The 27,869-nt window shown below is 52.3% G+C and overlaps 1 protein-coding gene across 2 annotated transcripts in view, besides 3 other annotated features; it reads right to left on the bottom strand.

Annotated features, from left to right (window-relative positions):
• The window catches only part of TBC1D9B (TBC1 domain family member 9B), a 45,827-nt gene that overhangs the window by 16,053 nt on the left and 1,905 nt on the right, over positions 1 to 27,869 (bottom strand). For both annotated transcript variants that reach the window (NM_015043.4, NM_198868.3), the window contains exons 2-10: positions 26,579 to 26,689; positions 21,066 to 21,184; positions 16,263 to 16,491; positions 15,086 to 15,344; positions 13,256 to 13,463; positions 9,980 to 10,189; positions 1,505 to 1,666; positions 924 to 1,074; positions 186 to 400 (exon numbers count right to left, since the gene is read on the bottom strand). In NM_015043.4, coding sequence (NP_055858.2) covers positions 186 to 400; positions 924 to 1,074; positions 1,505 to 1,666; positions 9,980 to 10,189; positions 13,256 to 13,463; positions 15,086 to 15,344; positions 16,263 to 16,491; positions 21,066 to 21,184; positions 26,579 to 26,689 — 1,664 coding nt within the window. The remainder of the gene's footprint in view (positions 1 to 185; positions 401 to 923; positions 1,075 to 1,504; positions 1,667 to 9,979; positions 10,190 to 13,255; positions 13,464 to 15,085; positions 15,345 to 16,262; positions 16,492 to 21,065; positions 21,185 to 26,578; positions 26,690 to 27,869) is intronic.
• Positions 15,343 to 15,843: an enhancer, noted in NCBI's record as "H3K4me1 hESC enhancer chr5:179320466-179320966 (GRCh37/hg19 assembly coordinates)". NCBI's record gives its function as "activates a minimal SCP1, AML or CMV promoter by ChIP-STARR-seq in primed H9 embryonic stem cells {active_cell/tissue: H9 hESC(primed)}" and the evidence as "EXISTENCE:reporter gene assay evidence [ECO:0000049][PMID:30033119]".
• Positions 15,844 to 16,344: an enhancer, noted in NCBI's record as "H3K4me1 hESC enhancer chr5:179320967-179321467 (GRCh37/hg19 assembly coordinates)". NCBI's record gives its function as "activates a minimal SCP1, AML or CMV promoter by ChIP-STARR-seq in primed H9 embryonic stem cells {active_cell/tissue: H9 hESC(primed)}" and the evidence as "EXISTENCE:reporter gene assay evidence [ECO:0000049][PMID:30033119]".
• Positions 24,448 to 24,947: an enhancer, noted in NCBI's record as "H3K4me1 hESC enhancer chr5:179329571-179330070 (GRCh37/hg19 assembly coordinates)". NCBI's record gives its function as "activates a minimal SCP1, AML or CMV promoter by ChIP-STARR-seq in naive H9 embryonic stem cells {active_cell/tissue: H9 hESC(naive)}" and the evidence as "EXISTENCE:reporter gene assay evidence [ECO:0000049][PMID:30033119]".

Genomic DNA, 27,869 nt, shown 5'->3' on the forward strand with positions numbered 1-27,869 from the left:
CGACTTCTATTCGGCATGGGGATGCGATGAGCAATTAATACTGTTTTTAAATTACATCTTTTTCTGCTGGGCTCCTTCCTTGGGACACAAGGCAGGGTCACCACACAGGCCTGGGACCACAGGGACCTGCTCCTGTGAACCTCTGGTGGCAGATGCTGTCTCTGGGCCCCTGTCAGGCCCCTTACCTGGCAGTAGCCGATGGTGGGGTTTCGGAAGGCATAGGCAGTCAGCACCCGCCGGAGGGCAGCAATCCCCAGCTCGTTCTGGAAGGCAGGGTGCTCGGGCATGGAGCGGTGCAGGTCTCGCTCGATCTCCTCTGTGGCCAGGCTGTACTTCCCGGTGGACTTCTCCACCAGCTCAGCATAGTACCCGGGGTGAGTCACCATCTCATTCCAGGCCCCTGGGGAGACACGGGTGCCAGCTGTCTCTGTCCTTCTTCTGGTACTTTGGGGGCAGTAACAGGGCAGGTTGGAGTCACCGGGTGCCCCACAGAGGAGAGGTGGGACTTGGGGTCAAGCACAAGCTGCGAGGCAAGGTTTCCCTTGTGCTCCTGGGGAGGGTGCTCTACCCGAAAGTTCAAGTGGCTGACTTGCCTCTTCCAGCAACCACGGGTGTGAATGCTGTCAGAGCCTGTCCCAAGGAAAGGAGGCCTCTAGGGGACCTGTTTCCCTCCCGCTGTGGGCGGGAGGGCACCACCCGGCCAGCAGAGTGCCCATTCCCCAGCCTCTGTCCCTCGAGATGCTCCTTCTGGTTGGGTCCCGGGCCAGAGCCCAGAGCCCAGAGCCCGGCTCCCGGCTGTGTGAAAGAGCTGGGAGCTCCTGCCTGGCCAACTCCAGGCCGGCTCAGGACAGACGAGCTCACACGGGGAGAGCTTGGGGACTGACTGGCTGAGCTGAGGCTGGGGGTGGCTGCACCCCACTCACCGGAGAAGAGGAGCCACAGCTCTCCCCGGAGGCTCTCAGGGATACCCTTCAGGACCAGTGCCCGCGTCTTGGCTGTGCGGTACATGCACACGCCACGCCCGTACTCGAAGAAGTGGATGTGCCATGACTCCTCTTTCATCTTCTCCTTGGCCTGAGGGAAAAGCGCATCAGGGAGCCTGGGGGCCGAAGCGCATCTGAGTGCCGAGGCCTAGGCCACCGCGGAAGCCTCGTGAACACTCCAGACAGTGCTGGCCAGCAAGTGTGGCCTTCCTCGCAATTCCCGGGAAAGACCAGGCCGCGCTGAGCCACACCTCCCAAGGCTCAGGAGACCAGCTCCTCAGCGGGAGGGCCCTTCCCTTCAGAGGCCTGGAGTCCGTGGCAAACAGCACACTGAGCAGGTCAGCGGAGCCCCCCAGAGAGTGCCTGCTCCGTCTCACGCTGCCAGGGTGCAGCCTGGGTGGGCACTGCCCAGCGGTCAGCCCAGGGCCCTGAGGGAAGGCCCAGGCCCAGGACTGGCTCCAGCTTTCCTCCTGAGGGCTCCGCTCTTGACGGAGGCTGGAGTGCCGGCGCTCAGGGCTCACCCCCTTGGCTCCAAGGTCCTCCATGGGCGAGTTTTTCTGGAAGAGCTTCAGCAGGCCCTGGGATGCGGTTGGCGCCTCCTGCGCACAGAAGCTCTGGCGGCTGCTGAGGGGAGAGGCTGGGCTGGCGGGCTGCTCCGACCCCTCCTGAGGAGCTGGGGAAGACTAGAAAATAAAACAGGGAAGGGGACGCCCTAACAACTGTGCTGCCAGGTGGCCTCTGATGCGCCCATCCATCCAGAGCTGGATCGGGGCCCGGTGCAAGAAGGGCCATGGGGGCAAACGGTGCACGGAGAAGAGCCTGTCTGGCTGGGCAGGAGGCTGTGGCTGCAGCTCAGCCCTCAGCTCCTCTCTGGCTGCTGGACACCGAGTCCTCAGTAATTAACCCCACTCTCACCAGCGAGTCAGTCTCAGGGAGCGGGTTCTGGGCTCACCCTGTGGGGCCCTTTTCTGAGGGGGGTCAGTGCAAAGGACAGGAGAGGCCCTATCCTAACGTGGAGGCACACCCCTGCCCACCCTCGGGCCCATGCTTCCTGGGCTGCACAGAGGGCTGGGTGATGGCCTGTGATGTTGGGCTGGGCTCAGGGTGGGTTTAGGGCGACTGCGTCACCCGGTTGCTACCAAGGAAATGAGTGGCCCTTCTGCAGGAGTGTTGGGATAACCCAGGGAGCATGCAAGGCCTGCTGCTGCCATCATGGTGCCACACCGGCCTGAGAGTGATGCTGTCTTGGCAGAAAGCAAAGTCCAGTGGGGGAGAGCCCAGCTCGACCAGGGCCAGCTGACTGCCTGAACTTCTTGGCTGGGCAGGTGGTCGATTCCCCATGGTGGGCTCTGGCCTGGGCTGGGCTCTCTACCCCTCACACCCTCCCACTGGCTCTGGTCCCGTGGCCACGGTCCCACTCCACCCAGGGCTGGGGCAGCTGCCAGGGTGCTGGGCGCCCTCCTAAAACACTTCACATTCTGTGTTTTTTTGAGAGAACCCTGATCTTGACTGTGGTGATGGCTTCATGGGCGTATACCTGTTAAAACGTACCAAATTGTATTCCTTAAATATGTACAGTGTATTGCGTATCAATTTTACCTCAATAAAGTTGTTATTAATATAAAAGGAAAAAGGAAAAAAAAAAAGAGAGAACTCTGCTAGGTTCACACCCACAGTCTACCCCTCTGGCCCCTGTGATGTTAGAAATGGATTTTGGGTCCACTTAAACAAATGTTGACGACAAGCTGCCTGAATCCAGTGGGCACGGCCCCAGCGCAGACTGACTGCCTGCCTGGAGATCCTGCTTCCCACCTGAGCTCCCCCAGAGGGACCGACTAGGACACACACGGGCTCGCAGGCTGTGAGGTGCCTTGGAGGATCACACATCTCAGTGCCAGGGAAGGAGCCACACCGCCGGGTGTGTGGCGTGCAGCAGACGTGTGCTCCTGGCCAGGGAAGGGGCCAGACCGCCGGGTGTGTGGCGTGCAGCCAACGTGTGCTCCTGGCGAGGCGGCAAGCGTGGCACCAAGCTCAGGGACCAGGCGGCTTTCGGCAGAAGCTTGGCTCAAGTCCCACCTTACATTCGGGCTTACTGGCCTCAGGTGGGTGCTCAGAGCTGCCTGGGATCTTATGTATTCCTAGTCCAGTCCTCCCCTCTTCCCCGAGGTAACCACCTCACATAAACCTCCAAAACCACTTGCCATCCTTGCATCCCACTGAACCACACTTCTTCCTGTTTAACTGAGAACAGGGAACAATCCGAGCCCTCCACGGGTGCCCTCCTGCCCGCCCACCTGCCTGCACCTGGACCCCATCCCCTGCCTTCTCTGCAGGAGTCGCTCTCCCAGCACAGAACTGCACTGTTACTCCTCTAAAGCCCACCCTCACTTTGGCTGGGTGCTGTTCACCTATTATGCTCCCTCTGCTAAGATTCATCCAGTTGTACACCGTATGTTTACTTTTGGATATATATGTTAAACTTCAATTAAAATTCTAGCCCTCCCAGAAGTTACCTCCATTACTCTGTTGACCTTTATACAAAATTTCTTGAAAGAGATGCTTAATCTCACTGTCTCCTTTCCCCCTTTCAAGTTTTTTTCCCTGTTAGAAAGTGTATATTTATACTGTAACATTTTATGCTAATATCATTATATAGTTTCTTAGTCCTCTCTTTTTAAGATGTCAGTTCCCTACTACAAGCAATATTGAAATTAGCTAGCAGGCCTTTTCTTCCCACTTTCCTCCCTCTCTGCCAACATCTGATCAAAAGGATATATTTTTAATTAATAAGGCAATCAGTGAGCTTATTCTATTTTCCATATCTTTCCATATACCTTCCGTTTTTTTTTTTTTTTTGAGATGGAGTCTTGCTCTGTCACCCAGGCAGGAGTACAGAGGTGTGATCTCAGCTCACTGCAACCTCTGCCTCCTGGGCTCAGGCAATTCTCCTGCCTCAGGTTCCCAAGTAGCTGGGATTACAGGTGTGTGCCACCATGCCCGGCTAATTTTTGTATTTTTAATAGAGACGAGGTTTCACCATATTGGCCAGGCTGGTCTCAAACTCCCAACTTCAGGTGACCCGCCTGCCTCGGCCTCCCAAAGTGTTGGGATTACAGGCATGAGCCATCAAGCCCAGCCTCATATACCTCCCTAACCTCAGGTTTTGATTGTACTATGTCTCCATCATCAGAGATTATAACATTTATATACTGTCACCTCTATTCCTACTATCTAACCTTAATTCCACAGCTAAATATAATCAATGCTACCACCAGTCGTTAGGCCCAAGCTGCTTCCATCACTCCTTGGTTATCTGGAGTCTGTTCTCCAGCAGACTCCACAGAAGCTGAGAGAGCCCCTGAACTCCTCTGCATGTTCTTTACAGCCTATGGTCTTTATACCTGAACGTCAGTTTGGCTGGGTATAAAATCCCTGGGTCACAGCTTCTTTTATTGTATATCTTAAAAATGTTACTCTGTATAATCTCAGCACTCTGGGAGGCTGAGGCAGGTGGATCACCCTAGGTCAGGAGTTCGAGATCAGTCTGGCCAACATGGTGAAATCTCAACCCCATCTCTACAAAAAATACAAAAATTAGCCAGGCATGGTGGCACATACACGTAGTCCCAGCTACTCACGGGCCTGAGGCACAAGACTGCTTGAACCTGGGAGGCAGAGGTTGCAGTGAGCCGAGATTGTGCCACTGCACTCCAGGAGACACCCTCCCCAACCCCCAACAAAAAGTTACTCTAAAATGTTGTTACTGTATCACAAAGTCTGATACCTCTCTTGAGGAGGAATCTCTCAGGATCGTGGCCCATTGCAACCTCCTTCTCCCACCTCCTGGGTTCAAGTGATTCTTGTGCCTCAGCCTCCCAAGTAGCTGTGATTCCAGGCATGTGCCACTATACCTAGCTTAGTTTTGTATTTTTAGTAGAGACAGAGTTTCACCATGTTGGCCAGGCTGGTTTTGAACTTCTGGCCTCAAGTGATCTGCCTGCTTCAGCCTCCCAAAGTGCTGGGATTACAGGTGTGAGCCACTGTGCCCAGCCTGGAATAATTTTTTAATCTTTAAAATTGAACAGTTTTATGAGATTTTATGTCAATATCGACTATTTTGTGTTGATTTTTCTAGACATTCAATGTGTCCTTCCACTATACAAGTTCAAGCTTATTTTATCAGTTTTCCTGAATCACAGTTTCTATTATCTGTTATTCCACTGCTTTTTTCTGGGAAGGGTGTGGGATGGCACTACGATTATACGTAAGTTTGATCTTCTTTGCCTAACTTCTTTATCCCTTCTCTGGACAACTTCTTCTCTATTTGTTTGAGTCTCCTCTGACTCCATTTTTCTCCTATCTCTTCCTTATTTACCTTAATGTATTTTCATTCTTGTGTTCCTGATTTTCATTTCAGAAATATCTGGTTTTTTTTTTCTTATTTCCTCCTGAGTCCTGTCAACTCTCTTCATATTTTTCTGTTGACTAGTCACTTTTAACCTGAGCTTTTTAAACATTTTTAATTTATACCATTCTTTAGTAGTTTCTGTCGTTTTTCTAATTCCTTTGAGATCACTCAGAAACATCAGGACACAGTTTTCATCTGCCTGGAGGAATGTTTTTCTGGTGTGCTTTCATTATCTGTGGGAGGTTATCTGGTTCACTTTCTCCCCGCAATATCTTTGTACAGGGTGTGATCAGCATCTTTTCCTGTTCTTTCAGCAGGATGTTCTACGTACGGGCAGTTGTGGGTCAGAGTAGCTTTCTGAACTCCACAGCTGGAGAGGCCTTTCCCCTGCTGTGGTCGGTCTGTGTAGTCCTTGCTCCTGTACTTTCTGGGATTGGCCACCTCTTTCTTGTATCTAAAGCTTTTCTCCTTTACCCCAAGTGTTCCTGCTCTGTTCAATCCCAGTCCTTTTTTTCTTGGGGTGAGCTCTTGTCTTTCAGAAGAGAAGTTTTTGTTAAGGGCATGGGTTTCCCTCACATTCTTGATCTTTCCTCAGCCGTATAATACGTCAGGCAGCGATAAGGCTGTGGGTAGAAATAAAGCAGGATTTTGTGCTTCCATTAATAAAAAAAAGCCTCCTCTATAAACTGGAGCCTGAGAAATCGGCTCCCAATTTCACTGGCTGTCTCTCAGATTCACTTGTTGAGGTTTCCATTTGCTGAGTAGTCTCTTGTGAGGGGTATTCTGGTGACTTCTGGATTCCTTGGCTCTTAGGACTATCAGAGCCCCTCTTCCTTCCCGCCATTGCCTCAGCACAGCTACTGGCTCTGTGTCTGCACAGAGTCATGCCACAGTTGGTGGTCTGGCCTCCAACTGTGGTGCACAGTTGGTGGATAGAGCATAGCACGGAGGTTCCTTGAAATATTAAAAATAGAACTGCTATACAATCCAGCAATTCCACTCCAGGGTATGTCCCCAAAAGAACTGAAAGTAAAGATTCAAACAGACATCTGTACACCCATGTTCACAGCAGTGTTACTCATAATAGCCATGAGGTGGAAGCAGTCCAAGTTTCAACAGTGAACAAAACGTGGCTTATCCATACAATGGCATATGATTCAGCCTTAAAAAAGAAATCTTGAGCACGCTACAACAGGGATGAACCTGGAGGACATCACGCTGAATGAAATAAGCCAGGCACAAAAGGGAAAATACTATATGCTTCCACTTATGTGCATTACCTAGAATAGTTCAATTCAAGTCAAAAAGGTAGAATGGTGCTTGCCAGGGGCTGGGGGAGTGGGGGCTGAGGAGTTACTGTTTAATGGGTTCAGAGTTTCAGTTTTGCAAAACTGAAAAAGTTCTGTGGATGGATGGTGGTGATGGCATAGCAATGTCAATGTACTTAATGGTAAATGTTGTTATGTGTATTTTATCACAATAGCGTCTCCTGAATCTGACCCCTTCTTACACCTACACTGTTCCTACCCTTGATGCTCGACTCCATCATCTTGTGCCCCTGCTTCTGTGATGGGCTCCAGCCGGCCTCCTTGCTTCTATTCTTGCCACTCTCTAGTCCAGCACTGCCCAAGAGAGATGATGAGAGCCACAAATGTAATTGTAAATTTTCTAGTAGCCACATTGTAAAGTCCTAAAGTAAATTATTGAGATTAATTTTAACAATATATTTGACTTAATCCAATATATCCAAAATACTCGCATTTCAACAGGAATCAATTAAAAAATGATGGAGTGGCCAGGCACGGTGGCTCACCCCTGTAATCCCAGCACTTTGGGAGGCTGAGGCAGGTGGATCGCCTGAGGTCAGGAGTTCAAGACCAGACTGGCCAACATGGCAAAAACCCGTCTCTACTAAAAATACAAAATAAGCCGGGCGTGGTGGTGGACGCCTGTAATCCCAGCTACTCGGGAGGCTGAGGCAGGAGAATCACTTGAACCTGGGAGGCAGAGGATGCAGTGAGCCAAGACTGCCCCACTGCACTCCAGCCTAGGTGACAGAGCAAGACTCTGTCCCCCCCCCAAAAAAAAAAAGATGGAGGTATTTTACGTTTTTCTTTTCATACGAAGTCTCCAAAACCCGTGTACAGTGATCTGAACACTCACAGCACATTTCCATTGGCACCCGCTGGATTTCCAGTGCTCCATGGCCACACGTGGCTGCTGTACTAGACGGGGCACCTCTAATCCACTGTCAACATGGACGGCCACAGTAACCCCATTAACACGTAAACAGGTCGTGCCCTCCTCTGGTCATGACTCTTCACTGGCTTCCCCTCTCACCTGAAGTCAAAGCTGCAGCACTCACAGGGCCTACGGGCTTTCGGTGACTTGGCCTTCTGCCACCTCTCTGGTCTCACCTCCTACACCTGGTCAGTCTCCTAAGCCCTGGTCCCAGAAGCCCGTGCCACATCCAATCCTGTCTCCCAGCTTGCTGTGCTCTCTGCCTCCAACACCCTGCCCCAGACAGGCTATGGCTAGTTCCCCTGCTTCTTTCGAGTTTCTCCTCCAGTGCTGCCTGATCAGAGAGGTTGCCCATGAGCAACAGAGAGAAAATGGAGCCCCCTTCTTTCCCCTGGCACTCCTGATCCCCTCATCCTGCTTTATTTCTACCCACAGCCCTTATCACTGCCTGACATATTGTATGTTTATTTGCTTACTGCCTCCCTCACTGGAATACAGCTCTAAGTGAACAGGCACTCTGTCCGATGTGTTCACTGTTCTACTCCTGGGGCCTAGAATAGCAGCTGGCACCTAACAGGAATGCAATAAAATGTGTTTGGATGCATGAAGCCGAGTGCCTGGGAGGGGCCGTGAGTGGTGCTTACTCAGCTTTCAGGAAGTGTGGGGCCTCATGGAGGCAGAGGAGGCTCGACCACCCTGTTCACTGCCCCTGCCACTCAATCCAACTTCACTCTTTCTTGAAATCCCAGATGAAGCCCAACCTTCTCCACACCTTTCTTCATGTCTGCAATCCACATTGATTCCGCCCACCCCTTCCCATGCGCTCACTGACGTAGTAATTTATTTAGCATCTATTACTGGGGCAGACAATGTAAAGGTCTGCCTGGGCCAGACCACACACGGCTCTAGAGCATGGAGGACACGCACAGCCCCAGCTCCCACGCCCGCTGCCCAATGGGATGGGGCCTTTAGGGCTGGGCACTGACTTTTCTAGAGAAGCTGGATCTGTGAATTTGCATATGGACTCTTCTAATGGCCAAATGTTTTTGCAAATTCAGACTCAACGACAGCAGCAGCACATCCATCTTGTCACACCAGAAAGCAAGGAATCAAAGACGACCAGTGTCGTGCCCAGGGACTCTCAGGGCTAGACCAGATGAGCCCCTCTGGCCACAGACAGAATAAGCATAGTGATTCCAGTGGAAAGACACACATCAAGTTGCTTAAATCCATACGTTCATAATTACAATAAAAAGTAAACCAAAAAACTCACTGGTCACATGTGGAAGACACTAGAAAACCAACTCATCATTATTTTGACAACTGGTGAGTAAGAGGAAAGAGTAAAACATGTATTCCACCTTTCCTCTATGAACTGTGCCTGGGGTCAGCTTCCCTCTTTGGGAGAATTTCAGCTCCCAGACGAAAGGAGGAATGGAATGAGCATGCCGCTGGCCACTGGCCGCTGGATCCAGGCATATTCTCAATGACTGACAGTAGCATAGAGAGGTGGCTGGTTGCCAGACATCTCTTGTTGGGAATAAACAGCACCTCAAGCCTGCCCACAGGCGGACCTGCCAGAACCAAAATCAGCTGAGCCTGAATGTGATCACGGCTCTCGGTCTCACCGCTCAACCAACTTAAACAAGAGACACAGGAGCTTGCTAAACGCCTGCAGCGGATGCAATCAGCAAAACCAGACGATGAGAGACTCTATGGCACAAGTGACCGATTCCTTCAAAAAAATATTGTGGAAGAATAAACGAGAGCTAGGTGGAGCAGAAGCCCGTAGATTAAACAGATTTAAGAGACCTATCAACCAAGAGTGACATGTGTGACTTTCGTCTGCCTCAGTTCAAATAATCAAACCGTGAAAAGTACACTTGCACACGGGGAAGTGTGAATACAATATTTGGTGATATTAAGGAATTCTTGTTAAGTTTGCTGGTACAATAGTGATACTGCAGTTCTACCGTCAAGAACTTCAGCCTGAACGCCTGGCAGGGAAGGTCATGGGAACAAAGCCGAAGTGTACAGGCCTCCACAGTGTGGCTTTGCTCTGAGTGCAGCAGCAATGCAGAAAGGACAGCCAGAGAAGGTTCCTCATGGGCAATGGGCCCAGCAGGAGTGAGGAGTACCGGGTGTGTGGCTGGGGGTGCAGAGAGGCTGTGATGTTGCTGGGCAGTGTGGGTCTGGGCTAGGGGTCTCTTGCCAGCTCTGACACATCCACCCCTAGGCGGAGGCCCACAGCCGGAACCATGGGGTCAGGCTCCAGCGGGGAGGCTGATGGATGCCCTGGCTCTTCCTGGGCCCAACTCGACCCTGCTGCTCCCAAGGGGCTTCTCACCTCTGTGCTAGGGTCCACAACACTGGCTTTCCTGCTCCCGATACTGCCTGGCTGCTTGGATGGTGTTTTCTGGAGGAAGTCAGAGATCCTCTGCACCAAGAAATCACGGTCTTTCAGGTTGGCAAACAGGAATGTCATTTTGCTTTTGGTGCTGATGGACAGGGGGCTGGGCAGCACGCTGGAGCTGTCAGCTTTTTCGACAATGGTCACCTGAGAAGGTGAAAGAACTCTTTTGGGTGTCTGCATCTCAGGCCCTGCAGCTGGGCATGCTTTGTGAATGGCAGACTGTCATGCAGCTGTCCTCTCCTGGGCACAATGCAGTGAGTGGCCCAACTGTCCTCACATTCTGACTCTGCCACCCGCTGCACCTAACCCCGAGCAAGTTGCCTGTGCCTCTAAGGGCCCGTTTTTCCTGTCGATGGCGGGGAGCACACCGGCTGTGCAGGGTGGTTCTGAGGATGATGTAGTGTTCAGCCCAGCTGCTGGCCTTCACTGGCTCTCAGAAGGCTGTCCGAAAGCAGGGCAAGCAGTCCCTTGCTTGCAGGACTGTTCCCTGCACTTGTTCCCAGGGAACACTTTTTGACAGCAGGGGTCCTGGAGCTTGGCTCTGAACCCCTCTGAGGTGTAGAGGGCACAGGACAAGCTTTCAGTGGGCACCTCTGCAGAGCCCAAGGCCTGGCAGGGAGACGGACGAGGGATGCACCAGCTGAGCACAGTCAGCAGGGGTGAGTGCTGGGAAGAGGGAAGGCTGGGTGGTCCCAGGGGAGGCGGCCACTGAGCTGAGACCTGGTCCAGCCAGGTGAGTGCTGGGGAAGAGATGGGTGGGGGCACAGCAGTCACCCTGCAGAGGGGAGTAGGACTGCCTGAGGGAGGAAGAGAAGGCCAGAGAAGCCAGGACAGTGTGAGCTGGGCAGTGGTGGAGGTGAGTGTGCACTTTTTTTTTTTTTGAGACGGAGTCTCGCTGTCGCCCAGGCTGGAGTGCAGTGGTGCGATCTCAGCTCACTGCAAGCTCTGCCTCCCGGGTTCACGCCATTCTCCTGCCTCAGCCTCCCAAGTAGCTGGGACCACAGGTGCCCACCACCACGCCCGGCTAATTTTTTGTATTTTTAGTAGAGACGGGTTTCACCATGTTAGCCAGGATGGTCTCGATCTCCTGACCTCGTGACCCACCCGCCTCAGCCTCCCAAAGTGCTGGGATTACAGGCGTGAGCCACCGCGCCCAGTCTGAGTGTGCACTTTTTATGTCTGTGTGTGAACATATCCATGGGGTGTGCCTGGGCGCAGGTCTGAGAGGGGGAGAGGCGCACAGAAGGCCTCACAGGTCACAGGAGGCAGGTGGGAGAGGCGCACAGAAGGTCTCACAGGTCATAGGAGGCAGGTGGGAGAAGACTCTAGAGGACTCTAAGCAGGGTGCCAACATGCTCCCACTGACATTTCGAATTTTGCTGGTTGCTGTGGGAGGATACGCCATAAAGGGGCTAAGTGTGTTAGGCCGGGTGTGGCGGCTCAGGCCTGTAATCCCAGCACTTTGGACGGCTGAGGGAGGATCACTTGAATCCTGAAGTTTGAGACCAGCCTGGGCAACATGATGAATCCCTGTCTCTGTTAAAAATTTAAAAAAAACAGCTAGGTGTGGTGGCAAGCATCTGCTGTCCCAGCTACTCGGGAAGTTGAGGTGGGAGAATCACTTAAGTCCGGGAGATGGAGGCTGTAGTGAGCCATGATCACACCACTGCACTCCTGCCCAGGCAAGAGTGAGACCCTGTCTCAAAAAAAAAAAAAAAAAAAAAAAAGGCGGGGGTTGGGGTTCAGTGTGGTTAGGGAGTGGCTAAAGCAGATGATGGTGTCTTAGGTGGTGTCCGTGGAGAGGAAGGGCTGAGCTCTGCGGGGTGAGCTGGCAAGACATGCTGTAGGGAGGAGGGAGAGGTCGGAATCTAGGCCGATACGTGGCTTTTACCTGGGCAAAGGGTGGAAGAGGGGTCACTTCCCGAGGGAAGCATGGAAGCGGGTGGTTGGGAGTGAAATTCAAGAGTCCACTACACCCACAGCAGAGTGAGCTGCGTGCGCAAAAGCCTGCAGGCTGGAACGTGGAGGAGCAGGTGTGTTGAGGGGTCAGCGCTGGCTGGGCAGGCGGCCCCCACCCTGACCAGCTGCAGAGTTCCATCACCAGAGCACACTCAGTCCTCCAGTGTGAGCTAGTCCTGCTCCCCGAGCTCCGCCAGGGCTCTCTACCATCTGAGATGTCAAGGGCCCGGCAGGAGAAATCCAAACGGAGCCTCAGGTGTCAGGAAGACCCCTAGGCCTGGGGGACAGGTCAGTACAGTGCCCCGGACAGATCCACAGGGCCCTGGTGCTAACAGAATGTGGGGTTCGGGTCACACCTGAGCCTCTTAACCTGGAGCTTTTGGAGCTGTGGCTCTTCTGAGTTCCTTCCCTCTGACTTCCCTTGGGGAAACTGAGGCAGCAACTCTCCCACACCTATTCTCAGCTACATCTGCAACTTGAGGGATTTGTGCAAATGGCAGGGAGGTCTTTAAGTTAAGAATCTCACTTGATTCTTCTTATAATTAAACAGTCAGAGCCCTGCTTGGCCACAAGGAAAAGGAGGCCTTGGGACCTGTCCTGACTCAGTCTCATGCCTTCTATTTGGGCAAGGGCCCTTGTCCTTGCTGTCCACACCCCTTCGGTGCAGTGCAGGACAGATGGCCTTGCTCCCACCAGGGTCACTGTGGAAGTCCAAGAAACCCAAGAAGGAGCAAGTGAGAGCCAATGCAGCCTCACAGGGGAGAGCCGACGCCGCCCCACAGGGGAGAGCCGACCTCTGATGGCCTGCTGGAGCCGAGCCACGCCAAGGTGGTATGTCCAGAGAGGACTGGTGAGGTGGCCTCTGAGAGTGACATATGGGACCGGTGCAGGAACACGGTCCTCTAAGCGCAGCCACGGAGCAGCACTTTGCCCTGCAGGGCCCAGAAGGCAGGCCTGATGGAAACTCACGCGTGGGAGACCCTGTCTCCACTAGGCAAGTGACCTGAGAGGGCAAGCAGTGTGCCCCCACCATGTTACCTGCCTCCCCAACAGGGCAGGTGCCTGTGGAGGGGCTCACTTGTCCTACACCCTCCACCTGTCCCATCACTGAGTGACATGTGACTGCCTGGGCTAGGGCATCCTCCCAGGTACCCCCCAGTGAGACAGGGCAGAGCAGGACAGGCTGGTCCCTGAGCCCACTGACACCTCGGGGCTGGAAAGGCCTTGGCCTCTCAACTAGGGGATGCTGACCTCCCTCAGGGGTATGATGAGGTGGCAAGCGTCCTCCTCCTTGCTGGCGAAGCAGATGTAGTTGTTGGAGATGAACATCTGGCCAGGGATGTGCAGCTTGTTGAACGGCGTCCACAGGGTGCAGCTTGTGTGGCCGTCTAGCCGCTCATCCCTGGGCAGCCGGAACGTGGCTCGGTAGCACTCATTCTTGGCTCGGGCGTCCAGGTCTCTGGGGAAACAAGGTAGGAGGACAGGAGGAAAGGGGACAAGGTCAGGACCAGCACACTCTCAAGGAAGCCTTGGGGCCTCCCCAGGCCTGTTTCCACATCAGATTCAGGATCCCTGGGGTGGTCCCTTGAGCAAGTCATGCTCAGGGACCTCAGAGTTCAATAAAAGATGCATGCTGAGTGAGCAGGCAGAAGGTGAGACAGTCACATAACCAGCGGAGAAGTGGCCAGCAAGCAATGTGTCCTGAGACTGCTTTGAAAAGGACACACCTAGATGCTGGCCTGGGCAATGTGCAACCCATCCCTCGGTACTGATGGGCAAGCAGAGCCCAGAGCACCTGCCCTGGATCCCACTCAGATGGAGGGCCCCGGGCAGCTCTTCCACCCTGGGCAGGCCTAACCCCAGGTTTCACCTTGAAACCTAGGTGAGGAGCTCCCCACAGGGAGGTGTGGAGCTTAAACTAAAGCATGCGGCTGCTAACAGAAATGCACACCTGTGTATCTGATGGCTGTGACAGTGGCCTGGCCCAGGCCCTCACCCCTTTGGTGGCTCTGTCCACATAAACTCTCCCAGCCCCAAAGGGAGCCTCCTGCCTGCCCTGGGCCGCAGTGGCCTGACCAGGGCCTGACTGCATTCTCACCGGCAGTGCCAGGAGCAGTCATGTTCCATCTCTGCTCGTGTTCTTTCCAAAAGGTCCAACAAGCCAACCTGTCACTTGCATCCCAAGGACAACATGCTTGCACAATTTTCTGGTCCTGGAGGTGGACCCCAGAGTTTGGGCCTGGACCACAGTCTGTGGGTGCAATGCAGGAAATGGCCTGGCTGGAATGAGGTCGCTCAACACAAGGGTGTGAATCTGGCTGTGGTCAGGCTGGCTGTGGGACCCAGGGAACCTCAGAGATCTTGTCCAGCCTCTGGAGTTTCCCATAAGCTACAACCTAGGAACCCAAACGTTAAGTAGCCCGGGAGGGCTGGCTGCTATGATGTGTTCCTGCCTATCGGTCCCCTGGACAGGGCAGCAGGGAACTCAGACCCACACATGGCCCATCTCCTTGGCTGGCTTCAGACCCAGAGGTCTGCTTCCACGTCAAACTCAGGACCCCTGGGGGTCCCATGGCTGTGAGAGGCCTCTGGCCAAGGAGTCTCAGGGTATACAGGAGAGCTGTCAATCACGGTGGGACGGAGGCCGTGCACTTGAGCCCAGATTTACCAAAGCCTTTCTGGGGGTGTCAGAACACCCTGGCTGAGGTGGCTACATCCTGGCTCCACTGCTCACTAACCGAGGGACTTCAGGCAAGTTACTTAACCTCTCTGTGCCTCAGCTTCCTTGTCTGATACCTAGGGATGGTAAGAGCCCCTTCCCATCATAGGGCCAAGAGGAATAAAGTGTGAAGAGCTTCCTCCCCATTAGTGGTATCCTCAGGACATCACTGCTATCTCCTGCTGCCTCTCCACACGGGACTGCAATGATCTGTTTACCTGGCTTCCTTCCCAAGTGGGGAGCCCATGAGGGGTGAATGTGGACACCTTCTCCAGGTCTACACACTTGGACCAGGCAGGTCCCAGCCAAGGTCAGCGAACCTGGCTCACATGAGCCCACCCCAGCCCTGGAGGGCAACGCACCGCTTCAGGGCTGAGATGTTCCTGTGTGGCCGGATGGGCCTAGGCAGGGCCTTGTCCTCCAGGAAGCCCTCGCTGTCCAGCAGCTGCCGCATGGCCAGGTTGGCCAACTGCTCCATGAGCTTGAAGGTCTCGCCGATGTTGAGGAACATGGAGAAGAAGAGCTCCTGGTCGCGGGTGTCCACACGGATGCTCTCGGGGAAGAGCAGGGTGGCGTTCTTCTCCAGACGCGTTATGTCCACCCACTGCACCACGAGGCTCACTGTGCCCACAGAGATAGACACACCGCAAGTTAGGGCCTGGCAGGGCGAGGCTCCTGATGCCCATCTGTACCCCAGACCCATCCCAGGGAACTGCTCTCTGGGGGCAGCACTTCCTGTGTGCCCAGGCCTGTCTGGGCTGTGTCACGCCCTCCATGTGGAGGGACCAGGCCACTGAGGTGTCCACTGCCTTCCAGACCAACCACACACGGTGAGTGTCTCCCCCACCAGTGGCTGAAGGGGAAAGGAACGAACGTGCGGAGGTGAACCACCGAGACCCACCCAGCAGCTCCCCCAAGTGGGAGCGCACGGAGGTGTGAACAGTCACAGCACAGCGCGGCCAACACAGAACAGGACACAGCCCCTGCTGACGGGAGGTGACTGGCCACCTGGTCGTGACAGGTAAGCGGCAAGGGCAGGAGGGGGCACAGGGAGGCTGTGGGCTGAGGGAGGCAAGGAGGGAGGAGGGCTTGGTGGGCTTGGGGATGGCTAAGACCCTGGGGCTCTTTCTGGAGCTGCTGGGAAATCAGGCTCGCATCCTGTGGCCGGGATGTCTGTAGGGAGGAACCTGCAGCAGATGAGGGCTGTGGCACGCACCCAAGGCATTGCATGACATGGAATCACCAGGAATTTGGGACAGACGTGTGCCTGAATACGCCAGTTCAGCAGAAGAGGGCAGGGCAGGCACGCGGAGTCACCATGTAGAGAACCCTACTAGCGAGTGGGGGGCATGGTAAAAGTCGGCTGGGAGCAGGTGTACGCCTGGCCAAGGCCGGACAGTCCCATCTTGGGCCGCTAAGGTGGCATTTGGGTTTCAGGGAGACCCCTCTGGTGGCCATGTGGGGATGGAGTATCTGGGGGCCGAAGGCAGGGAGGGGCTGAGGGTGTGGGGGCTGGGGCACACTGAGGGGCGGGCTCACCTTCCTTCCCCAGCAGGAAGGAGTAGAAGCACAGGTGGTTGACCGTCAGGTACAGCCAGCCCTGCCGGGGCACGCGGCCCTTCCAGTAGCTGCAGGAGTAGTAATTCACCAGCTTCTCGCCCTCAGGCATCCCAAACTGCTTCCGCATCTTCAGCTCAGCCTCCTTGAACTTCCCGGGGTCCTCGTCTCCCTGGGGCTGCAGGTTCTTGTTCTCTTCTGCGATGATTCCCTGGAGGAAGGCAAGAGGACAAGGGCTTGCCCTGCACAGTCCCGGACAGGTCAAAGGGTGGAGCAGAGAGGCCCAGGGAACCCAGGACTCATGGACCTTGGTCTAAGGGCTACAGGCACAGCTGGGAACAGTCAGTGGCTCTTGCTGGCTTGCAGTCAAGGCACATGGATGAGAGACGCTGCCTGTGTGACTCTCTAGACAAAGTTCCTGCAACTCCCGTAACTACTGTCATCACCAGTTGTGAGCAGAGGCTTTTTAAAAAAATTAAGACAGGGTCTCACTCTGTCACCCAAGCTGGAGTGCAGTGGCTCAACCACGGCTCACTGTAGCCTCAACCCAACAGCTGAAGCCATCCTCCTGCCTCAGCCTCCCAAGTAGTTGGGACTATAGGTGTACTCCACCACACCTGGCTAATTTTGTACTTTTTGTAGAAATGGGGTTTTGCCATGTTGCCCAGGCTGGTCTCAAACTCCTGGGCTCAAGTGATCCGCCCGCCTCAGCCTCCCAAAGTGCTGGGATTACAGGTGTGAACCACTGTGTCTGGCCTGACACTTTTAAAATGAATATTTCAGTTATTTTCATGTAAAATTGTTGAAACATTATCCATAAACATGGTAAAAAATGCATACAGTAGAAATGTGTATTCAGTGAAAAGGGAATCTTTTCTCGCTCTCTGTAGTGACTTTCCTGGTTCCTTCCAGACATGCAAACACCAATGGATTCATAAGCAAATGTATGTTTTCCTCTTTCCCCCTTTATTTGCCCAAATGGGATCACCCTGCAGCTCTGTTCTGTAAAGCGCTTCTCTTATCACATCCTGGAGGACGTCCTGCACTTGGCCCCCTGTATGCCAGGGGGCTCCTGCCTCTTGGCCCTGCACACAAACCAGCGGCAGGACCTGCAGTTTCAGGGCCCGTCCATACTCCCTCATGCTGCTGGCATTGTTACAGGGCTCAGGGTGCCCAGAGACATCCCCCTGGGCCACAGAGCCAGCCCCAAGCCTCCTGGGGTAAAACAGGTCCTCAGCAGTGCCCTCAGCTCAAAATGTACACATTGATTTTCTAGAAAGACAATTACAAGATAAACTAGTCAGTCAAGGTCAGTGCTGGTGGCTGGGCCACCCCCGATCCCTCTGTCCATGGGCAGTGAGGACAGCCATGAGCCTAGGTGAGGACTGAAAGGTGGGATCTGTTCTGATTTCTTCTATTTCTGAGTAGCCAGGGAAGGAAACTACAATATGCCATCCCAAAATATGCCCTTTTGACATAAGAAGTATTTTGAGCTGAAGGCAATTAAGTAGCAGCAAACACAGGAAAAGCTCTTTCTGCCCTCCCTCCCCCTTTCTGCCTAAAAGCTGGATATACGTTCTCCTTTATTGGAGACAATTCTAGATTCCTATCAGCCCAGAGATGACACCGCACGCATCTGCAAACAAACCTTACTCCATCGGTTTCATCCCACGTATTTATCTTCTCACAGTTTCCTGCCCTTGGAAGCATAAGCTGTTTTCGTCTGTCCTGTTATTGTTCTTTAAGTGGCCTGTCCCTGTGTTAAGAGGCTGTGTAAACCCAATTCCAACTAAACTTTTGAGTCACCTATCCAAGTTTCTCCCATGAATATATGAGATACACACATTAGTAAACTTCTGTTTTTGTCTTGTTAATCTGCCTTTTGTAACAGAGCCCCAGCCAAGAACCTAAATGGGGAGAAGGAAAAGGGTTTTTCTTCTCTTATACCAGTGCTACCGCAGCTGCGATCTAAACATCTCTCTCCAAAGTGCTGGGATTACAGGTGTGAGCCACCGCGCCTAGCCAAACTGGTGTTCTTTTAAGCCACTAAGTTGATGGTAATTTGTTGCAGAAGCAACTGGAAATTAATAAATGTTATTCTAATAAAGTGCCCATTTTGTCTAAATTCTTTTTTTTTTAGACAGGGTCTCACTCTATTGCCCAGGCTGGAATGCTGTGGCGCAATCTTGGCTCACTGCAACCTCTGCCTCCCGGGTTCAAGCAATTCTTGTGCCTCAGCCTCCCAAATAGGTGGGATTACAGGTGCGCGACACCATGCCCAGCTAATTTTTTATATTTTTAGTAGAGACAAGGTTTTGCCATGTTGGCCAGGCTGGTCTTAAACTCCTGGCCTCAAGTGATCCACCTGCCTTAGCCTCCCAAAGTGCTAGGATTACGGGTGTGAGACACCACGCCCAGCCCCATTTTGTCTAAATTCTTAAAGGTACTGGTTTAAGGCTGTTTTGTCATCCTCTCTCTTTAGAGTTTTGCTTTTTTAAAGATGCTCCTCACAGCGTATTTTGAGACGGAGTCTCGCTCTGTTGCCCAGGCTGGAGGGCAGTGGCATGATCTCGGCTCACTGCAACCTCCGCCTCCCAGGTTCATGCCATTCTCCTGCCTCAGCCTCCCGAGTAGCTGGGACTACAGGCCCCCGCCACCATGCCCGGCTAATTTTTTTGTATTTTTAGTAGAGATGGGGTTTCACTGTGTTAGCCAGGATGGTCTCGATCTCCTGACCTCGTGATCCGCCCGCCTCGGCCTCCAAAAGTGCTGGGATTACAGGCATAAGCCACTGCGCCTGGCCCATCCTTCCTTCTTTTGTAAGACTGAAGGCTTTAAATTTCCTTCTGTGTATTGCTCTCACTGCATCCCACACATCCTGACATGCAGTAGTATTTCAATCATTTTCTTTTCTTTTTTTTTTTTTTGAGATGGAGTCTCGCTCTGTTGCCCAGGCTGGAGTGCAGTGGTGTGATCTCAGCTCACTGCAACCTCTGCCTCCTAAGTCCAAGTGATTCTCCTGCCTCAGTCTTCCATTCCGAGTAGCTGGGACTACAGGCCCATGCCACCACGCCCAGCTACTTTTTAAATATTTTTAGTAGAGACAGGGTTTTGCCATGTTGGCAAAGGATGGCTGGCCTTGATCTCCTGACCTCAAGTGATCCGCCCGTCTTGGCCTCCCAGAGTGCTGGGATTACAGGTGTGAGCCACCACACCTGGCCTCAATTCTAAATATTTTCTAATTTCCATTTCTTCCTTGGCCTATGAGTCATTTGGTTTGTTCTGCTGATGCGTTTGTTGGGCCTGGCATATAGGAGGCAGTGAATAATGTCACAACTACTATTATTATCATCGCCCAATTGCTCACCAGAGTAAAGGCTTGCTTCTGCTCTCTCCACCTGTTTTCCTGGAGATAGAGGTAACCAGGTCTCACCTTGAACCCCAAAGTGCACTGAGAAGAGCTGAGAAAGCTGGTAATGTCTGTCCAGGCTTAGGAAGTTCTGGTATCAGGAATTCACATGGGCCTGCCCAAAGCAACTTTGCACCACACGACTTTGACCTGGTAAGAGCCCTCCCATGAATCTAACTTAAGGCAATAACCTAACAGAAAGAAAAAGACATATACATTCAGGCCAGGTGCGGTGGCTGATGCCTGTAATCCCATAACTTTGGGAGGCCAAGGTGGGTGGATCACTTAAGGTCAGGAGTTTGAGACTAGCCTGGCCAACATGGCAAAACCCCATCTCTACTTTTTTTTTTTTTTTTTGAGACGAAGTCTCATTCTGTCGCCTGGGCTGGAGTGCAGTGGCATCATCTTGGCTCACTGCAAACTCTGCTTCCCGGGTTTATGCCATTCTCCTGCCTCAGCCTCCCGATTAGCTGGAACTACAGGTGCCCACCACCACGCCCGGCTAATTTTTTTTGTATTTTTAGTAGAGACAGGGTTTCACTGTGTTAGCCAGGATGGTCGCGATCTCCTAACCTCGTGATCTGCCTGTCTTGGCCTCCCAAAGTGCTGGGATTACAGGCCTGAGCCACCGCACCTGGCCTTTTTTTTTTAATTGAGATGGAGTCTCACTCTGTCACCTAGGCTGGTGTGCAGTGGCACGATCTCAGCTCACTGCAACCTCGGCCTCCTGGGTTCAAGCAATTCTCCTGTCTCAGCCTCTTGAGTAGCTGGGATTACAGGCGCGTGCCACCATGCCTGGCTAATTTTTGTATTTTTAGTAGAGATGGGGTTTTGCCACGTTGGCCAGGCTGCTCTTGAACTCCTGACCTCAGATGATCCACCCACCTCGGCCTCCCATAGTGCTGGGATTATAGGTGTGGGCCACCACACCTGGCCCTTTAAACTGTATATTCTGCATATATGAATACACTGTAGGGTAAACGCCAAGAATGGAATTTTTGGGTAAAGGGCATGTGTCTTTTAAAATAACGTTAGTTTTATTATAAAAAACAACTCAAAATATCCAATTGTTTCCAGCATCTCTTCTGGCAAACAGAACCGTCTATCTGCGTACGCCTTCCAAGGCACTTGGGTAGGAATGGAAGCCCCGCACTAGGCTTCAGCAGCCTCCAGTGCCCACCCAGGGTAAGAAGGGGTTTTCCTGGGTCACGAGTTCCTCTGCCCCTTTCAACTCCAAGAGAAGGAGCGCTGACACTTCAGTCTCCACCTTTGTAAAATGGGGACGCACCCTACATCGTGAAGATGAAATAGGATAATACACGAGAACACTGCTGGCCAGGGAAGGGTGAGAACAGAGAGTGGCGGGTAAACCTTACGTGTATCTTGCCCTTGACGAAGGTGGTGATATCTTCCTCACTGTCGAAGATGGACAGTGTCTGGAGCAAGTTATTTTCCAGCCATTCCCAGTGTTTTGTGATCTCTTTGCGGGAAGAACCTAGAAGAGGTTTGGTAAAGTAAAAGAAAAATCATGAATTCCCCAGGCCTTAAACGCACATTCAAAGAAGCGAGATGAAAGTGGGTGACCTCATTTGCTAAATCTAAGTGACCAGAATCTTCAAGCTGCTTTTCCCTCTTAAGCTGATGGATATGTGCATAACAAAGTAATAAATGGTCCTGGTAAAAAAACAAAAAATTAAACGTCCAGGCTGAATCACAGTCGTGTGGGAGAGAATGTTTCCACCTGTCCCTGAAGCCAACAGGGAGAGTCACTAAGTCTCCTATGTGTCCTAGAAATAGTCTGTGTGCCTGCAAGCTTGCTAACTTACACTTTTCCTCAAGTTGAAAGAACTTAATGTGGCTTTTGCTATGTAGGTGATTAATCAGACACAGTCATACTTTGTATAAATGAGTCCAGCTCTTTCCTGAGCATCTAGGTATCCACAGATAAGCAGCCGGAGCTTCCTACAAGACTCCAGGCCCCTGGCCAGCGAGGCTCCTGCTGGGCAGGCGAGTAGCTACTGTCCCTCTCTTCAGTTTCTCCTGGCCACCTTCTTACCTTGTGTCTGCCCCACCTAGGAGGGAGGGGGTCCCTGTCCTCCATAGGCCCAACGGAAATTAAAAAAAATGTAGAGAAAATCTGGGCGCCGTGTCTCATGCCTGTAATCCCAGCACTTTGGGAGGCTGAGGCAGGAGGGTCATTTGAGCCCAGGAGTTCGAGATCAGCCCGGGCAGCATGGCGAAACCAAAAATACAAAAAATTAGCTGGGCGTGGTGGCATGCACCTGTGGTCCCAGCCACTCAGGATGCTGAGGTGGGAGGATTGCTTGAGCCTGGGAGGCGGAGGCTACAGTGCAGCCTGAGTGACAAAGTGAGACCTCGTCTCAAAAAACAAAACAACACACAAAACAAAAACGTAGAGAAGGCAGCACGATGCCACTTTCAAAGGCTGGAAGAATTGTTTGCTCCCATTAAGGAATCGGGGAAGAAGCCCCGGGGGAAGAGCAAAGGGATGAGGGGAGATCTCTGCCTGGCCTGGCTCCCCTACCCCCAGCACCTGTTTCTGGGGTTTTGCCTGTACTGAATGAACACAAGGATGAGGAGTGAATGACACCCTGAATCATTCTCAGCTGTCCGGGGGTGGGACAGGAGGCCCACCCACCAGGCATGAAGACAGCCTCAGCCAAGACATGGCAGATTCTCGTTATTCAGGTGGTCAGATTCTGTAAGGTGGCCGCGAACACTGAGTTAGCGAATCCTGAACCAGTACCCTGGGGGAACACAGGGTTAGGTTCCTGGAGCCTCTAATCACACTCTTGTCGACTGACCGATACATAACTGTTTTACATGTTTCTGTTTAAAGATGCCTTATTTAATACGTATCCCTGATCGATTGGCATTGAGCTCACGGCCAGCAGCACTATCACTCACGCCTGAAAGAAGCTGCTCGCATGCACGGATCTCCTTCACAAGGCACAACTCAGCCTTCTTGCTCTTAGGAACAAGAGCACTACGGCACTATGCTCGGGAGGCCAGTGTGACTGTGAACCAGACGTCTCTGCTGGCACGCCTGCCCCGACCACCTTCCTTCCCTCCCTGACCAGGCTCTTCTGCCAGCTGGAGACAGCTCTGACCCTCCCTCCAGGCCAGGCTGGGCCTGTCACCTGCTCCAGCCCGTGGCACCCGCTCAAGGCTGTGTCACAGCCCGGCTGTTCTGCTTGGGACTGATTTGTTTGCTTTGTCAAATCTCCTCAAGCAGACCCTGACCTAAGAAGCAAGGCCACAGGATAGATCCTCCCGATTGGCCTGGGGGAGGATGCCCACGGGAAAACGATTCCACCCAGAATCACACAGCTTGCAGTGAGTCACAAAAGGCCCCCAGAATTACTCCTGGAAGCCCCTTAAGTCATCCATAATTCACTTTAAACTTTTTTTTTCATTTTTCTTTGCATTTCTATTACAGCCTCCTTTCCCTGATGCACAGAGGCCAAGGCCTAGTTGGTAGGTAGAGATTTCTTTTTCGGTTTCTTTGCCAGGAACCCACAGTTGAATTTGGAAGTCAAATTTACATGTGGTGCAACTCTACTGTATTATTTTCTGTTACACATAACATTCCTAGAAAACTAAAACAGAAGAAATCTCCTCCTCGCTGCCTGTGTGGATGTGTCAGCACTTTAATTAAAAATATTTATAGGCCGGGCACAGTGGCTCAGTCCTATAATCCCAGCACTCTGGGAGGCTGAGGCAGGGGAATCGCTTGAGCCCAGGAGTTTGAGATCAGTCTGGGCAACATGGCTGTCTCTACAAAAAATAGAAAAAATGAGGCATGGTTGCGTGGGCCTGCAGTCCCAGCTAGTCAGGAGGCTGAGGTGGGAGGATCGCTTTAGCCAGAGAGCTGCAGTGAGCTGTGATTGCACCACGGCACTCCAGCCTGGGCAACAGAAAGAGAACGCCTCAAAAAAACATTTCTTTTTTTACATATGTGCATTAAAAATATTAGTTAAAAGTAACTCAATCTTCATTTCATACTAAGAAACTATTCCATCTCTATGCTAGGTGCTGGGAATAAAAATAATATAATAGCTAATTAGAGTATTAAATGCTGTTTCTGTTTTCAGAGTTTTCCATGGATTATCTTATTTCATTCTCAGAACACAGTGGAGACAGGTACCATTATTTTCATTTTACCAGATGAAGCTGAGGCACAGAGAGGTGAAATAAGTTACCCAAGGTCACACAGCTGGGAAGTGATCAAATCAGAATCCTAACCCTGGGTGCCTGGCTGCAGAGCCTGCCCTCACCCTCGGAAGCTCCCGGCCTCATGGGCTTCCACGTAAAAGCGTGTGCAGACACGTCATGTCCAGAGGAGTAAGGAGGAAGGATGGGTCTGTGGAGTCTGGGCAGTTCTCAGAGGAGCGGGAGGGAAGGTTAGCTGGCATGGCGGACACTAGGCACAGCAGCCAGGAGGGGTGTGGCTCCTCCAGGCCCTGCAGCTGTGTGGTCCGGCTGAAGGCCAGGCTGTGAGCTGGGGAGACAAGGCCAGAAATGGAGGCAGGCAGACCCCCAGGTGTCCTCGAACACCAGGCTCAAGGGTCAGGACTCACTAAGCAGGTGCTGGCAGGGCCATGTCTGGTCTTGGTGAGTTGCTTCTGGGGCCTAGCCTGGCTGGCAGGAAAGGGAGGCACAGCCAGGGCCAGTGCAGGGCTTTGGGCCTGGCAGGAGGGGAGAGGTCAAGTGTGTGGCACGGGGCTACGTACATGGGCTCCGCTGCGTGGCTGTGGCTGGGCCCCTCCCCAGCACCAGGCCTGCTGTGACTAAAGGGATTCCCACTCTGCCCCTCGTACTTTTCTCTCCCCAGGGACGGGCAGCTCTTGCTGCCAGAGATGGAAATCTCAAGGGCCCATGTTAAAGCAGCTCCTCTCCTCATTAGCACACACCAACCTCCTGGCCCACTCAGAAATGGTCCCCTCCCCACAGGAAGCCCCTCCTCTGGCAAACTCTTGCTGCCCCCAGGGTCCACTCAGGCTCTGAAGCCAGAGATCGGGGGTCTAACTGGGCTTCCCTGCTTGGCCTTGGACAAACTCCCCTTCCTAACTCTTACTGAGTTATTCAGTCCTGCAAAGGAGAAGGGCACTGCTGGTCAGGATGCCCGTGCAGAGCGCCCACCTGGGAGTGGGGCTATTCCCGGGGTGCCGCCCGCCCTGTGCTTTTACTTCCTTGACCCTTCCCCTCCTGAAGCTGGGTTCCAGCCGTGAGGTTGACAAACTTTTGAGTCTCATCATCTTCTCCCAGGCCTTCAAGGGAAACCACTACCCTGGAGAACAAGGGCACTGTGGCTTCTGCTTCAGAGAGGTACTGAGAGGGTCCAAACTGCAGCTGTGTGACTCTGAGCAGGTTACTCAACCCCTCTGGGCCAGAGTTTCTTCACCTTCAACATAGAGAAGACCAAAGTACTTATGCCTTCTGGAGGTACCGGGTGGTTCAGGCAAGTGCCTGGCACACAGGAAGCACTGTCTGAGCGTCAGCTAGGACTGTCATTTTCTCAGAGCAAACTCAACCCAGCAGGTACCCGCTGAAAGGGGACTTCCCTCCGCACTCTTGGACGGGTGAGTGCGCTTCCACCTAGGAGGACAACTACAGCGGATTCTCGTTATTCAGGTGGTCAGATTCTGTAAGGTGGCCGCGAACACTGAGTTAGCGAATCCTGAACCAGTACCCCGGGGGAACACAGGGTTAGGTTCCTGGAGCCTCTAATCACACTTCTGTCGACTGACCGATACATAACTGTTTTACATGTGTTTCTGTTTAAAGATGCCTTATTTAATACGTATTCCTGATCGATTGGCATTGAGCTCACGGCCAGCAGCACTATCACTCACGCCTGAATGAAGCTGCTCTCATGCACAGATCTCCTTCACAAGGCACAACTCAGCCTTCTTGCTCTTAGGAACAAGAGCGCTATGCTTGGGAGCCATTTTAAACAGCCAAGTCATCAGCAACGAGCACAAACATGGGAAAAACATGGCACTGCAGAGACTGTGAACAGGACACGTGAGTGCAGTATGAGAGCTGAATCAAGAAGGCAGAGCGTCGTCCTGTTCTGCCTCAGCTGGGGACATGGGCATCAGGCGAGTCAAATTTTTCACTGCTTTGAACGTGCATGTGTCCATGAGTGTCTCCAAATGACCACAAAATCGCTGGAAGTATTGATTTGGGGATTGCAAATACATTTTATTGAGTAGGCCAATTTGCAAATATGGAATCTTTGAATGAGGCCGACTACGTCTACCTTGAGAAAAGGTGGCATGAGAATGTGGACATTGGCTAGCCCCACACCTGCGTCCCTAGAGGTACATGGGGATCCATGGGGCTGTCCTCTCCTGCCCTGTCCCCATGACCAGTGGAGCTGCCTTTTTTTTTTTTTTTTTTTTTTGAGACGGAATCTCGCTGTGTCGCCCAGGCTGGAGTGCAGTGGCGCGATCTCGGCTCACTGCAAGCTCCGCCTCCCGGGTTCACGCCATTCTCCTGCCTCAGCCTCCCGAGTAGCTGGGACTACAGGCCTCCGCCACCACCCCCAGCTAATTTTTTGTGTTTTTTAGTAGAGACGTGGTTTCACCGTGTTAGCCAGGATGGTCTCGATCTCCTGACCTCGTGATCAGCCCGCCTCGGCCTCCCAAAGTGCTGGGATTACAGACGTGAGCCACCGCACCGGGCCACGGAGCTGCCTTTCTAAGATGGAAGCGAAGGCTCCTCCACTTCCCTCTTGCAGCCTTGGGCTATGCTGTCAGCAGGGAATACCACCCAGACACGTGGGCTACACACCCCTTCCTCTCGGCAACGGCCCTTCCAGGGCAGGCCCTGCCCAGCACCCCTCACCACTCAGGGCACCTACCACACGCCACTGTCCAGTAGACCTGGGAGTCCTGGGTCTGGTGCAGGATGCGGTAAGGGGCCACGCGGGCACTGGAGTCCAGCACCACGTCCAGGGTGCCCACGAGAAGACCTGGGAACAGGGCAGAGAGACATAGAGGGTGAGGGGAGGGCCGGACTGAGGCCCCTGAAGGCTGAGTCTGGCCGGAGGCAGACAGGATGGTGACGCTACCCAAAGGGTCCAGCCCAACGAGGGAAACGTCCGGAATGACCCCTGCGGTCAAAGGCCTTCAGCCAGTGTCTGATCCCGATCAAAAACATCCCCTTCTACTTCTTCCTGGAAGCATCTGCTTCTTCTCCTGGCTCAGAAACACTTGCAGGCAGAGGCAGATACAAGTTTCATGGGGCCAGAGCTTAAACAATTCTGGGAAGCCCTCTTTACGTATACAAAACTAGACTACAAAACAAGTATTGCTTTAGACCGAGAAAGTACAGAGCTACACGTTAAAGTTAAAAAAGAACAATATCAGAAATATCACAAAATCCAGAAAACCAACACAATGTTTTCCTAACTGCCATGTGCGTCTCCTGAAATACGTCTTCCGGACAGTTCTGGTCCTGTACTCATCGCTTCTTCACACACAGGACAATGATTCTGCAACATTATTTTCCATATCAAGAACAGAAAGATAATGTCTCCCCTTTGCCATGACTCACTGATTTTTTATTACCGACAGTTTAAGGAAGTTTCTTTTAGCCTCAAAAAATCATAACTGAAGAAGTCGATCTTTAGAATTGTCAAATTTGGGAAAATATAAAGTTTTTTCATTTCTGAACTGAAACATTTGAGGGCATTTCAAGTTTTTCTTCTCATCACATATACCCCTTTGATAGATGACACACATTAAGCAGTCTGTGGCAACGCTATCTTTGCTTTTATATTTTAGGTAATGCTATCTTTGTCAGTGTCACTATTTCCTGACAAATCAGCAGGAAATATATAGCTTTTATCATTGTTTGATTCACTAATTGAATTATCGAGCAATCTAAAAACCTGTTTATTGTTTTTACTTGAAATTTTTTCTTCCTTTTAACGAAGTGCTGCTTTTGGCATGATCTGAAAATATTTTGTTACCATTTTTCCTGTTGATGTCAGAACAATTTTTATTGCTGTTATTCAACTTTAACACTTTTGTTTCATAGTCCATTAATACTTTTTTGAGATAGTCTCGCTCTGTCGCCCAAGGTGGAGTGCAATGGCGCCATCTCGGCTCACTGCAACCTTGACCTCCTGGGTTCAAGCGATTCTCGTG

The sequence above is a fragment of the Homo sapiens genome, chromosome 5 (genome assembly GCF_000001405.40).
Source record: "Homo sapiens chromosome 5, GRCh38.p14 Primary Assembly".
NCBI lineage: Eukaryota > Metazoa > Chordata > Mammalia > Primates > Hominidae > Homo > Homo sapiens.